Consider the following 12,634-nt stretch of genomic DNA (forward strand, 5'->3'; position numbering starts at 1 on the left):
AATGTCCATCAATGATAGACTTGATTAAGAAAATGTGGCACATATACAGCATGGAATGCTAGGCAGCCATAAAAAAGATGAGTTCATGTCCTTTGTAGGGACATGGATGAAGCTGGAAACCATCATTCTGAGCAAACTATCGCAAGGAAAGAAAACCAAACACCACATGTTCTCACTAATAGGTGGGAATTGAACAATGAGAACACTTGGACACAGGATGAGGAACATCACACACCGGGACGTGTTGTGGGGTTGGGGGAGGGGGCAGGGGTAGTATGAGGAGATATACCTAATGTAAATGAGTTAATGGGTGCAGCACACCAACATGGCACATGTATACATATGTAACAAACCTGCACATTGTACACATGTGTACACCCTAGAACTTCAAGTATAATAATAATAAAAAAAAGAAAGATGACGGCTCTAGGAATACAATGGTTACTGTCCCTTAATAAAATCTGTTGCCAAGTATATTTAAAAAAAAGGAATTTGGGAATTATTATGACTCATGACTTTACAGTTGGTTGATTTAGGCAACCATATAGCTTTTGTTTCACTTATTTAATTTAAATCTAATTTATGGACTTGTAAGGGCATAAATATTAATTTTACAGCTTGATTTTGACACAAAGCAAGATATTGAACATTGACAACACCACAGAGGCCTACTTTGTGCTCCTGTCCCTGTTGTTACTTCCTCCAAAGGTAACCACAGCACAGATTCTTAGTACTATAAATTAATGTTGCCTGTTTTTGAATTTTATTTAAATGAGATTACATAGTATACTTTTTGTTGCTAAATTTTATACCTTTGAGATTCATTAATGTTTTTATAGATAGATAAAGTTTTCTTCATTGCTAAATTGTGTTCCATTATACATATATACCACAATGTATCTATTCTATTGTTAATGGGTCATATGGTTTGGCTCTGTGTCCCTACCAAAATCTCATGTCAAATTGTATCCCCAGTGTTGGAGGAGGGGCCTGGTGGGAGGTGACTGAACCACGGGGATGGACTTCCCCCTTGCCAATCTTGTGATGGACTTCTCACAAGATCTGGTTGTTTGAAAGTGTGTAGCACCTCCCACTTCACTCCCTCTCTCTCCTCCTGGCCATGTGAAGACTGTGCCTGCTTCCCCTTTGCCTTCAACCATGATTGTAAGTTTCCTGAGGTCTCCCCAGGAGCAGAAGCCTATACAGCCTGCAGAAGGGCAAGCTGATTAAATCTCTTTTCTTTATAAATTAAAAAAAAGACCTAGGCCAGGCACGGTGGCTCACCCTTGTAATCCCAGCACTTTGGGAGGCCGAGGCGGGCAGATCACGAGGTCAGGAAATCAAGACCACGGTGAAACCCCGTCTCTACTAGAAATACAAAAAATTAGCTTGGCTTGGTGGCGGGCCCCTGTAGTCCCAGCTACTAGGAGAGGCTGAGGCAGGAGAATGGCGGGAACCCGGGAGGCGGAGCTTGCAGTGAGCCGAGATCACGCCACTGCACTCCAGCCTGGGCGACAGAGCGAGACACCGTCTCAAAAAAAAAAAAAAAAAAAAAACATAAAAATAATAAATTATCCCCTTTATAGTAACAACAAAAAAAGATTAATAATCTAAGAATAAAGTTGGCAAAAAAAGTACAAGATCTATATGATAAAATCTTTTTAAACTACTTAGAGGCGGCCGGGCGCGGTGGCTCACGCCTGTAATCCCAGCACTTTGGGAGGCCGAGGCGGGCGGATCACGAGGTCAGGAGATCGAGACCATCCTGGCTAACACGGTGAAACCCCGTCTCTACTAAAAATACAAAAAATTAGCCAGACGTGGTGGCAGGCGCCTGTAGTCCCGGCTACTCGCGAGGCTGAGGCAGGAGAATGGCGTGAACCCGGGAGGCGGAGCTTGCAGTGAGCCGAGATTGCGCCACTGCACTCCAGCCTGGGCGACAGAGCGAGACTCCGTCTCAAAAAAAAATAAAAATAAAAAAACACTACTGAGAAGCACTGAATAAATGTAATAGTCTGTCCTTTCTTGGACGGAAAGACTGAATGCCATGAAGGTGTCAATTCTCTGATCTATGACTTATTGTTTTACAAATGTAATGCAATCCCAACAAAACACCAATAGAATTTTTTAATTAGGCAATTGGATTTCAAAGTTAACAACAAAAAACATGTAACACTGGGAAGATACTAGAAAAGAGAAATGGTAGAGTACTAGCCCAACTCAGATATCAATTTATAGTTACATATTGTAACTATATTATGTATAATTTAATATATTAACATTATAATATGTATTATATAATGTAGCATAATTATAAGTACGGTTATGATGTAAGAATAGACAAATTGGCCGGGCGCGGTGGCTCACGCCTGTAATCCCAGCACTTCGGGAGGCCGAGGCAGGCGGATCACGAGGTCAGGAGATCGAGACCATCCTGGCTAACATGGTGAAACCCCGTCTCTATTAAAAATATAAAAAATTAGCCGGGCGTGGTGGCGGGTGCCTGTAGTCCCAGCTACTCGGGAGGCCGAGGCAGGAGAATGGCGTGAACCTGGAAGGCAGAGCTTGCAGTGAGTCGAGATTGCGCCACTGCACTCCAGCCTGGGCGACAGAGCCAGACTCCGTCTCAAAAATAAAATAAAATAAAATAAAATAAAATAAAATAAAATAAAATAAAAACAAGAATAGGCAAATCAATGAAAAAGAAGAGGAAGCCCAAATATGACACAAAGACATATGAGAATTTAGAATACGATATTGTTTCTCAGTAGGGAAAAGATGAATGGGTAGCCATCTTAGAAAAAAGTGAAGATAGATCCTCTCATAACAAAAAAAATTCCAGATTGATCAAAACTTTAAATACAAAAGTAAACATTTTTAAATCTTGGAGTAGGGAGAGGCTGTCAAAGAATGAAGGAAAGACCAAGAAGCGTAAAAGATTGATAGATCAAAATGTATAAAAATTGAAATTTTGTACATGTTTACAAAAATAGCATAAAAATCTAAAGTAAATTTAAATTTTACAAGGAAATATATTCGTTATATCATTAAATTTAACAGCAAAAGCTGGTTAACACTCTATTAACAAAGAACTGTTAAACTACAATACATCTATATGTTCGCTATCAGACAGCTAATAAACTAGGGTAGTTCTCTATAAATACACATAGAAAGAAATTAAGACAAAGAAGCTGTGCGCAGTGTACACTTTGTTGCCCAGCTATGGGAGGCTGAGGTGGAAGGATCCCTTGAGCTCAGGAGTTTGAGACCAAACTGGGTAATATAGCAAGACACCATCTCTTAAAAGAAAAAAAAAGATATAGAAGGAAAGAAGGACATAGGACAGAATAATGTATACAATATGCTATTCAGTATGTGTGTCATTGCATACATATCTAATTTTAATATTTATAGGTATATCTCTTTTAGATTATTTTAAGAGAGAGTGCCTCGCTCTGTTGCCAGGCTAGAGTACAGTGGCATGATCACAGCTCACTGAAGCCTCAACCTCCCAGGCTCAAGTGATCCTCCAGCCTCAGCTTCCTGAATAGCTGGGATTACAAACACATGCCACCAAGCCTGGCTAATTTTTTTTATATTTTGTAGAGACCTAGGGTCTTGCTATGTTGCCCAGGCTGGTCTCGAACTCCTTGACTCAAGTGGTCCTACCATCTCGGCCTCCCAAAGTGCTGGGATTACAGGCATGAACCACTGTGCCTGGCCTATAGGTATATCTTTATATGGATAGACTATCTGTGATAGTATAAATAAGAAACTGGTAATGCGTGTTGCCTTTGAGAAGGAATTCTGAAGAAAAACCAGATTGCTGAAAGTTGGGTGTGGTGATAAGAAGATAAACATATTTCACTGAATTCCCTTTAGCACCTTTCTCTTTTTTTTTTTTTTTTTTTTTGAGACAGAGTCTCTCTCTGTCGCCTAGGCTGAAGTGCAGTGGCACAATCTCAGCTCACTGCAACCTCGGCCTCCCAAGTTCAAGCAATTCTCTTGCCTCAGCCTCTTGAGTAGCTGGGATTACAGGCGTGCGCCACCACGTCCAGCTAATTTTTTTGTATTTTTAGTAGAGACAGGGTTTCACCATTTTGGTCAGGCTGGTCTCGAACTCCTGACCTCAAATGATCCACCTGCCTCGGCCTCCCAAAGTGCTGGGATTACAAGCATGAGCCACTGTGCCCAGCCAAGTACCTTTTTTATTTGGAACTATGTGCATGCTTTACATAATCAAAAAGTGAATATTTTAAAGAACTTGTGTGAACTTTTTTTTGACTACCTGCTTGTCTGCTCAGTGGGTGCAAATAACTGAGGTAGATTCACCCCAATATATTATGGACTGTCTACTGTGAGACTATGTGAAAGGAAGGTCAACTTGCCAGATAGACTGCCTGTTGACAGGCCCAGACTTCAGTCCTGCCTGAGGTCAAGTTCTGCAGAAGGTGGTAAATTTGATTGTGAACATACTAAATTTGATGCAACATCAGATTGTCCTAGTGGAAATGTCTGGCAGGAAGTTAGGAATTGAGGACTGGAGCTCGGCAAGGAGAGGAAGGCGGGGGCTGACAGGCTGGGGGGTAGATTTGAACTGGATGAGCTTACAGGTGCTGAAATGTAGAGGTTGCTAGGAGATAAAGTGTCAGGAATAGATTCTTGAGGAACACCTACATGGGTGGAGAGGCCAGGAGCAGTGGCTCAAACTTGTAATCCCAACACTTTGGGAGGCCAAGGTGGGTGGATCGCTGGAGCCCAGGGGTTCCAGACCAGCCTGAGCAACATGGTGAAAACCCATCTCTATAAAAATATACAAAACTTAGCCAGGCGTTGTGGCATGCACCTGTACCCCCAGCTACTTGGGAGGCTGAGGCGTGAGGATTGCTTGAGCCTGGGAGGCTGAGGCTGCAGTGAACCGTGATTGAGCCACTGCACATCAGCCTGGGCAACAGAGTGAGACACTGTCTCAAAAAAAAAAAGGAAAGAAATAGACAGAGAAAGAGGAGATGGAAAGGACAGTCAAATGGGGAGAAGAATCAGAAAAGAACAAGCCACAAAGGCCCAGGGATAGAGTATCAAGAAGAAGGTGGTCGACAGTGTCAGACCTTGCATCAGGACAAGAGGGCTGTGTGAGGCCGTTCTTGTGTTGTTATAAAGAAACACCCGAGACTAGGTAATTTATAATAAAAGAAGCGTGACTGGCTTGTGGCTCTGCAGCCTGTATAGGAAGCATGGCACCAGCATCTACTTCTGGGGAGGCCTCAGGAAGCTTTTTTTTTTTTTTTTTTTTTTTCTGAGACAGGGTCTCACTCTGTCGCCCAGGCTGGAGTGCAGTGGCACGATCTCGGCTCACTGCAAGTTCCGCCTCCTGGGTTCACGCCATTCTCCTGCCTCAGCCTCCGAGTAGCTGGGACTAAAGGCACCCGCCACCACGCCCAGCTAATTTTTTTGTGTTTTCTTAGTAGAGACGGGGTTTCATCGTATTAGCCAGGATGGTCTCTATCTCCTGACCTCATGATCCGCCCATTTCGGCCTCCCAAAGTGCTGGGATTACAGGTGTGAGCCACTGCGCCTGGCCCAGGAAGCTTTACAATCGTGGTAGAAGGCAAAGTGGGAACAGGCACATCACATGGTGAAAGCAGAAGCAAGAGAGAGAGAGTTGGGTCTGGAGGCAGATGTCACATATTTTTAAATGACCTGGTCTCACAAGAACTCCTTGGGTGAGAATTTTTAATGGGGATTAAGAATTTAAAATCTATATATTCAGTGTGCTTCTCCCTGCAGGAAGTTGTTTCTAAATGAGGTCCTATGCAAACTCACAGATAACATAACAGCATTTTACCATCTATTTGCATAAAACACTGTTAGAGTATACAATATTTATGAATAAATGCCCTTTGTACTATAAAATCTAATACTTTAATACTGTTTTCATCCTTGATTTATTATTTAAGTTGATCAAATTAGGAGCAAATTTTACCAGAGCCAAAACCCATATTTTTCATTTTAAACAATGTTTAACTAGCTTCAGAGCTTAGCATTCAACCTTCAGTATCATTTATAGATTATAATATAGAATCACAGTATTTTCACCAGAGTAAGACTTCAGATCTTAGGTCAGTCTAATATGCTTCCTTCATTCTACAGGGGAAAAAATTGATATCTGAATAGTTTGAATATGTCTAAAACTACACATAAGTCAATGGACAGGTAAAATTGAATCTTTCCAGATCCAGTCTTCACTCTTTATATCAAATGGAATCATCTCACTCCTGATTCCATTACCATAAAATAAGGGAGACTAGCTGAAAGGCAACAAGAAAAGATCAAACTATCTTACAGACTTTTACTCAAAACAGATCTGTATTAAAAATTATACTTGATATACTTGTTATTTACCACACCCTCCAAAGTGTTATGAACTACATGAAAACCAGTGGTGGCTTCCACTTTTGGCCATGATGGAGCAACAGATACCACATCTATGCTCTGCCAAAACAATAGAAAAATGAACAACGTATATAAAACAACTGTTTTTAGAAACTGAACAATAGGCAGCACAAACGTGTGATGCCTGAGAGAAGGGATACAAATGAATTTAGCCCCATGATTGCCCTGGCTTCTGCCTTTTAGGACCTGCTGGGCCATAATGCATGAAGAGAAATCCAAAACAAAGCACAGAGGTCTTGCTGGGTTGGAGGGTCAGAGGTCAGAGTTAGGAAGACTAAAGCAGTTCAAGGTGGCAGGGCAAAGCCTCCAAAAGAAGCAGCTACTCAGGAAAAGAGTTCAACAAGTATGCAAATAATTGCCTGCCAGAACAAAGCCAAACACTTTCTAAAAGAAAACAATAAAAACCAAATGCACAACAGGAAAACATCAACAATGTCCACAATTTAAATTTTTTATTCCAAAAATGTGAAAAAGTAGAATGTAAAACATGACCTGAAGAAAAATTAATAAAGATTGCCAAAATGACTGAGATGATAAAATTAGCAGACAAGAAAATTAAAAGTTATTGTAACTATGTTCAAGTGTTTTTAAATATATATATATATAGAAGAAAGAAGACATAAGAAAGAATGAAAAGGAACTTCTAGAGATGAAAAATACAATATCTGAAATATGAAATTTACTAGATGGGCCAGGGACATTGGCTCACGCCTGTAATCCCAACACTTTGGGAGGTCAAAGCAAGATGATCTCTTGAGTTTGAGACCAGCCTGAGCAATATAGCAAGACCCCCATGTCTTAAAAAAAAAGGTCTTTCAAAAATCAGCTGGGCACAGTGGTGCACACCTGTGGTCCTAACTACTTGAGAGGCTAAAGCAAGAGGATCACTTGAGCCCTGGAGTTAGAGGCTGCAGTGAGCTATAATCATGCCACTGCACTCCAGCCTGGGTAACAGAACAAGATCCCATCTCTAAAAAATAAAAATAAAAATCCCAAAGTGCTAGGATTACAAGCATAAGCCACCATACACCAGCCATAAAAAAATTTTTTTAATAAAAAATAAAAATAAAACTCACTAGATAAATTAACCACAGAATAGATATGCAGAAGATCACTAAATCTGAAGATGCAGCAATAGAATCTATAGAAACCAAAGCACAAAGACTGAATAAAAATAGAGCATCAGCGGCCAATGGAACAATATCAAGCAGTCTACATATATATAATCGGAGCCACAGAAGGTGAGGAAGGAGGGAGGAACAACAAAAATCTGAATAAGTAATGGCAGAAAAATTCTAAATTTGATAAACCTGTAAATCCATATATCCAAAAAGCTCTATGAACCTAAACCAGGATAATCATGATAATTGTTACCTAACAATGTGAATGGACTTAATGCCACTGAACTGTAAACTTTAAAATGGTTAAAATGTTCAATTCTATGTTATGTATATTTTAACATAATTAAAAATAAATAATTTATTAAAATATTACATTACACATCAATAATAAAGAGCTTTCAGGTTAATCCTGAAGTATCTGAATTAAAACACACTTTAGTAATCTAAGAGTCAAGGAATAAACACGTAAGAGATAACAGAAAAGATTTTGAAGTAGTTGAAAATGAAAACACAATATATCAACATTTACAGAATGCAGTTAAAGCAGTTCTTGGAGGGAAATGCATAGCTTCAGATGCTTATAGGAAAAAAAGTCAAGTCCAAAATCAATGATAGAAAAACAAAGTAAGTAGAAAGAAAACATAATAAAAATAAGAACAAATATCAATAAAATTTAAACAAAATCAAAACGAATTCAACAATATTCATTCATGCTAGTAATCAAGAAATGCAACTTAAAGCAATGTTGAGAAATGTTTTGCACATTACCCTAGCCAAAAATATTTTTTAAAAAACTAATTCAAGGACAAATAGAGGCCAGTTGCAGTGGCTCACTCCTGTAATCCCAGCACTTTGGGAGGCCAAGTTGTGAGGACTGCTTGAGTCCACGAGTCTGAGACCAGCCTGGGCAACACAGCAAGACCCCATCTCTACAAAATAAAAAGTAACAAAAATAGCCAGGTATGGTGGTGTTCACCTTATAGTTCCAAATACTTGGGAGACTGAAGCAGGATCAATTGAGCACAGGAGGTCAAAGCTGCAGTGAGCCATAATTATGCCACTGTACTCCAGGCTGGACAACAGAGTAAGACTCTGTCTCAAAAAAGAAAGAAGGAGAAGAAAGGAGAAGAGAAAGAATAGGAAGAAGAAAAGAAGATGAAGATGAAGATGAAGATGAAGAAGAGGGAGGAGGAGGAAGAGGAGGAAGAGGAGGAGGAGGAGATGAACAACAACAGGAGGGGGGAGGAGAGGGAGGAAGAGGAGGAAGAAGAATAAAAAGAGAGAAAGAAAAGAAGAGAGAGAGAGAAGGAGGGAGGGAGGGAGAAGAGAAAATCTGAAGAACTTTGTATCTATTAAAACAATTGAATTCATAATCAATTTTCCTATGAAGAAAACTCCAGGCCCAGACAGCTTCACTGGACAATTCTATCAAATATTTAAGGAAAAAATAACAATCCTACACAGACATTTTTAGAAAAGGTACTAAGAGGAGACATTTTCAAACTCCTTTGATAATGTAGCATTATACTGACAATGAAAGCAGACAAAGACATAAGAAAACTACAAACCAGTATCTTTAATGAACACAGATGAAAAAATTCTAAATAAAATTGTTGCAAATCAAATCCAACAATATCTAAAAAAATAATAATACACCATGACCAACTGGGATTGATTCTCGAATGTTAAACAAACCTTGTGGCTGGGTGTGGTGGCTCACGCCTGTAATCCCAGCACTTTGAGAGGCCAAGGTGGGTGGATCACCTGAGGTCAGGAGTTTGAGACCAGCCTGGCCAACCTGGTGAAACCCCATCTCTATTAAAAATACAAAAATTAGCCAGGCGTGGTGGCGGGCACCTGTAATCCCAGCTGCTCGGGAGGCTGAGGCAGGAGAATCACTTGAACCTGGGAGGAGGTTGCAGTGAGTTGAGATCACACCACTGCACTCCAGCCTGGGCAACACAGTGAGACTCCGTCTCAAAAAAACAAAAACAAAAACAAACAAACAAACAAAAACACCTTGCATTCCTAGAATATTTCCCACAGTTGGCTTAACATTTGAAAATGAATCAATGAACAACAATCAGAATAATAAATAAAACCATGTAATCAATTAAACAGATATAAAAGAAAGCATTTGATAGTATTCAAGATCCATTCATAATATACTTTTTAACAAGTCTCATCAAACTAAGACTAGAATGAAACTTTCTCAACATGATATAAGGCTTCTATAAGAAAACTTAACAGCTAACATTGTCAGAGGCATTTGACCCAGAGCAACTCCATCTTGATTAGGGGATGGATAAAATAAGGCTATGACCGGCTGGGCTGCATTCCCAGGAGGTAAGACATTCTTAGTCACAGGATGAGATAGGAGGTCAGCACAAGACACGGATCACAAAGACCTTGCTGATAAAACAGGATGTGATAAAGAAGCCAGCCACAACCCACCAAAACCAAGATGGCCCCAAAAGTGACCTCTGGTCATCCTCACTGCTCATTACATGCTAATTATCATGCATTAGCTACTAAAAGACACTCCTACCAGTGCCATAACAGTTTATAAATGCCATGGCAACATCTGGAAGTTACCCTATATGGTCTAAAAAGGGGAGGAACCCTTAGTTTCAGGAATTGCCCACCTCTTTCCCAGAAGTCTCATGAATAATCCACCCCTTGTAGAGCATATAATCAAGAAACAACTATAAGTATACTCAATCGAGCAGCCCATGAGGGTGCTCTGCCTATGGAGTAGCCATCCTTTTATTCCTTTACTTTCTTAATAAATTTGCTTTCGCTTTACTCTATGGATTCATCTCAAATTCTTTCTTGTGCAAAATCGAAGAACCCTCTCTTGGGGTCTGGATGGGGACCCCTTTCCAGTAACATCACACTTATTAGTAATAGTGAATTTTCTCCTGAAGGTCAGGAACAAGGCAAGTATATAAATTATCATCACTTCACCATACTACAGATTCTAGCCAATGCAACAAGGCTAGAGAAATCCCAAGACATCTACAAACAAATTTTAAAAACTAATAGAAGTGGCTGGATGAGGTGGTTTACACCTATAATCCTAGCAATTTGGGAGGCCATGACAGGAGGAGCACTTAAAGTCAGGAGTTCAAGACTAGCCTGGGCAACATAGTGAGACCCTGTCTCTACAAAAAAAATTAAAAAAATAAAAAATAGCCAGGCATAGTGGCATGCACCTACAGTCCCAGCTACCTGTGAGGCTGAGGCAGGAGGATCACTTGAGCCTAGGAGTTTGGGGCTACAGTGAGCTATGATTGTGCCACTCTTCTCTAGCCCAGGTGACAAAGGAAGACTGTGTCTCTAAAAACAAAAAATAAAAAAACTAATATAAATAACAGGTGAATTTAGCAAAGTCACAGGATATAGGTTCAATATACAAAAATCAATTGTATTTCTAATACTAGCAATAGACAATTGGATATTTAAATTTAAAAATATATATATCATTCACAATGTTATCCAAAAACATGAAATGTTTAACAATAAATCTAACGTAATACATGCAAGACTATATAAGAAAAATTACAGAATATTGCTGAAAGAAACTAAATAAGATATTTAATTAGAGAAGTATACTATGTTCACAAAGGGGAAGACTCGATATTGTTAAGATGTCAATTCTACACAAATTAATCAATAGAATTCAATGCAATTTCAATCAAAATTCCAACAAGATTTTTTGTAGAAATCAGTAAGCTGATTCTATAATTTACATGGAAATGTAAAGAACCTAGGCTAGCCAGAGCAACTATGAAAGAAAAGAACAAAGCTAGAAGACTTATGCTACCTGATTCTAAGACTTACTATAAAGCTACAGTAATCAAGACACTGTGGTATTTGCATAAGGATAGGTATGTAATAAATCAATAGAACAGAAGAGAAAATCCAGAAATAGGCCTCAAATATATGGTCAACTGATTTTTGACAAAGGTACCAGGTGTGGTGGCTCATGCCTATAATCCCAGCACTTGGGCCTGGCCCAACATGGTGAGACCCCGTCTCTATTAAAAATACAAAAATTAGCCAGGTGTGGTGGTGCACACCTGTAGTCCCAGCTACTTGGGAGGCTAAGACAGGAGAATCGCTTGAACCCGGGAGGCGGGGGTTGCAGTGAGCCGAGAGGGCACCAATGCACTCCAGCCTGGGTGACAGAGCAAAATTCCTCTCAAAAAAACAACAAACAAACAAAATTGAAGACTGTCAACACCATGTGTTGGAGAAGATATCAAGTAACTGAAACTCTATATTGTTGGTGAGCATGTAAAGTGGTACAAACACTATGGCAAACAATACTGTAGTTTCCTTGGAGTTACCATGTGACCCAGTAATTCTACATCTAGGTCTTTACCCAAGAGAAATAAAAACTCATTTACACAGAGACTTGCACTCGAATGTTCATAGCAGTGTTATTCATAATACTAAAAAATAAAACTAACTCAAAGGTCCATCAACAAGTAAATAGATAAATAAATTGTAATATATCTAGAATACCACAACAGAATACCACTCAACAATAAAAAGGAGTAAATTACTTATATAAGAGCAATATGGATGAAACTCAAAAACATCACAATGAGCAAAAGAAGCCAAACACAAAAGATTCCATGCTGTGCGACTCCAAACATATGAGACTCTAGAAAGGACAAATATGATCTATAGTGACAGAAAGCAGGTCAGTGTTTGCCTCAGGTAGGGACACAGGGATGGAGTGACTAGAAAAGGGCAAAGGGAACTTTCTGGGGTCATGGAAGTGCTCTATATCTTGACTGCACAGTCAAAATATAAATATATAAATCTGATTGCACGGGTTCATTTGTTAGGTTCATTGAGCATTGAACTATATATTTTAAATGGATGTTTTATAATATTTGCATGTCAATTATACTTCAATAAAGTGATTTTTAAGATCTCTCTGCATGTGTGTATGTGTGTGTGTGAGTGTGTGTGTGTGTGTGTGTCTTATGCACACATACACATGGAACATGGCAGTAATGCTACAATATTCCATGGCTGTGTGCAGT

At 39.4% G+C, this 12,634-nt stretch overlaps 1 protein-coding gene and 1 long non-coding RNA gene across 10 annotated transcripts in view, besides 1 other annotated feature; both read right to left on the bottom strand.

The window, feature by feature from the left end:
* TTC28 (tetratricopeptide repeat domain 28) overlaps window positions 1–12,634 on the bottom strand; it is a 701,827-nt gene that overhangs the window by 556,651 nt on the left and 132,542 nt on the right. The gene's annotated exons all lie outside the window — the stretch shown is intronic.
* Window positions 1–12,634, bottom strand: part of LOC101929594 (uncharacterized) — a 51,240-nt gene that overhangs the window by 21,067 nt on the left and 17,539 nt on the right. The window lies entirely within an intron of this gene.
* Window positions 6,341–6,906: an enhancer, noted in NCBI's record as "OCT4-NANOG hESC enhancer chr22:28936993-28937558 (GRCh37/hg19 assembly coordinates)". NCBI's record gives its function as "activates a minimal SCP1, AML or CMV promoter by ChIP-STARR-seq in primed H9 embryonic stem cells {active_cell/tissue: H9 hESC(primed)}" and the evidence as "EXISTENCE:reporter gene assay evidence [ECO:0000049][PMID:30033119]".

The sequence above is a fragment of the Homo sapiens genome, chromosome 22, assembly GCF_000001405.40.
Source record: "Homo sapiens chromosome 22, GRCh38.p14 Primary Assembly".
In the NCBI taxonomy this organism is placed as follows: Eukaryota; Metazoa; Chordata; class Mammalia; order Primates; family Hominidae; genus Homo; species Homo sapiens.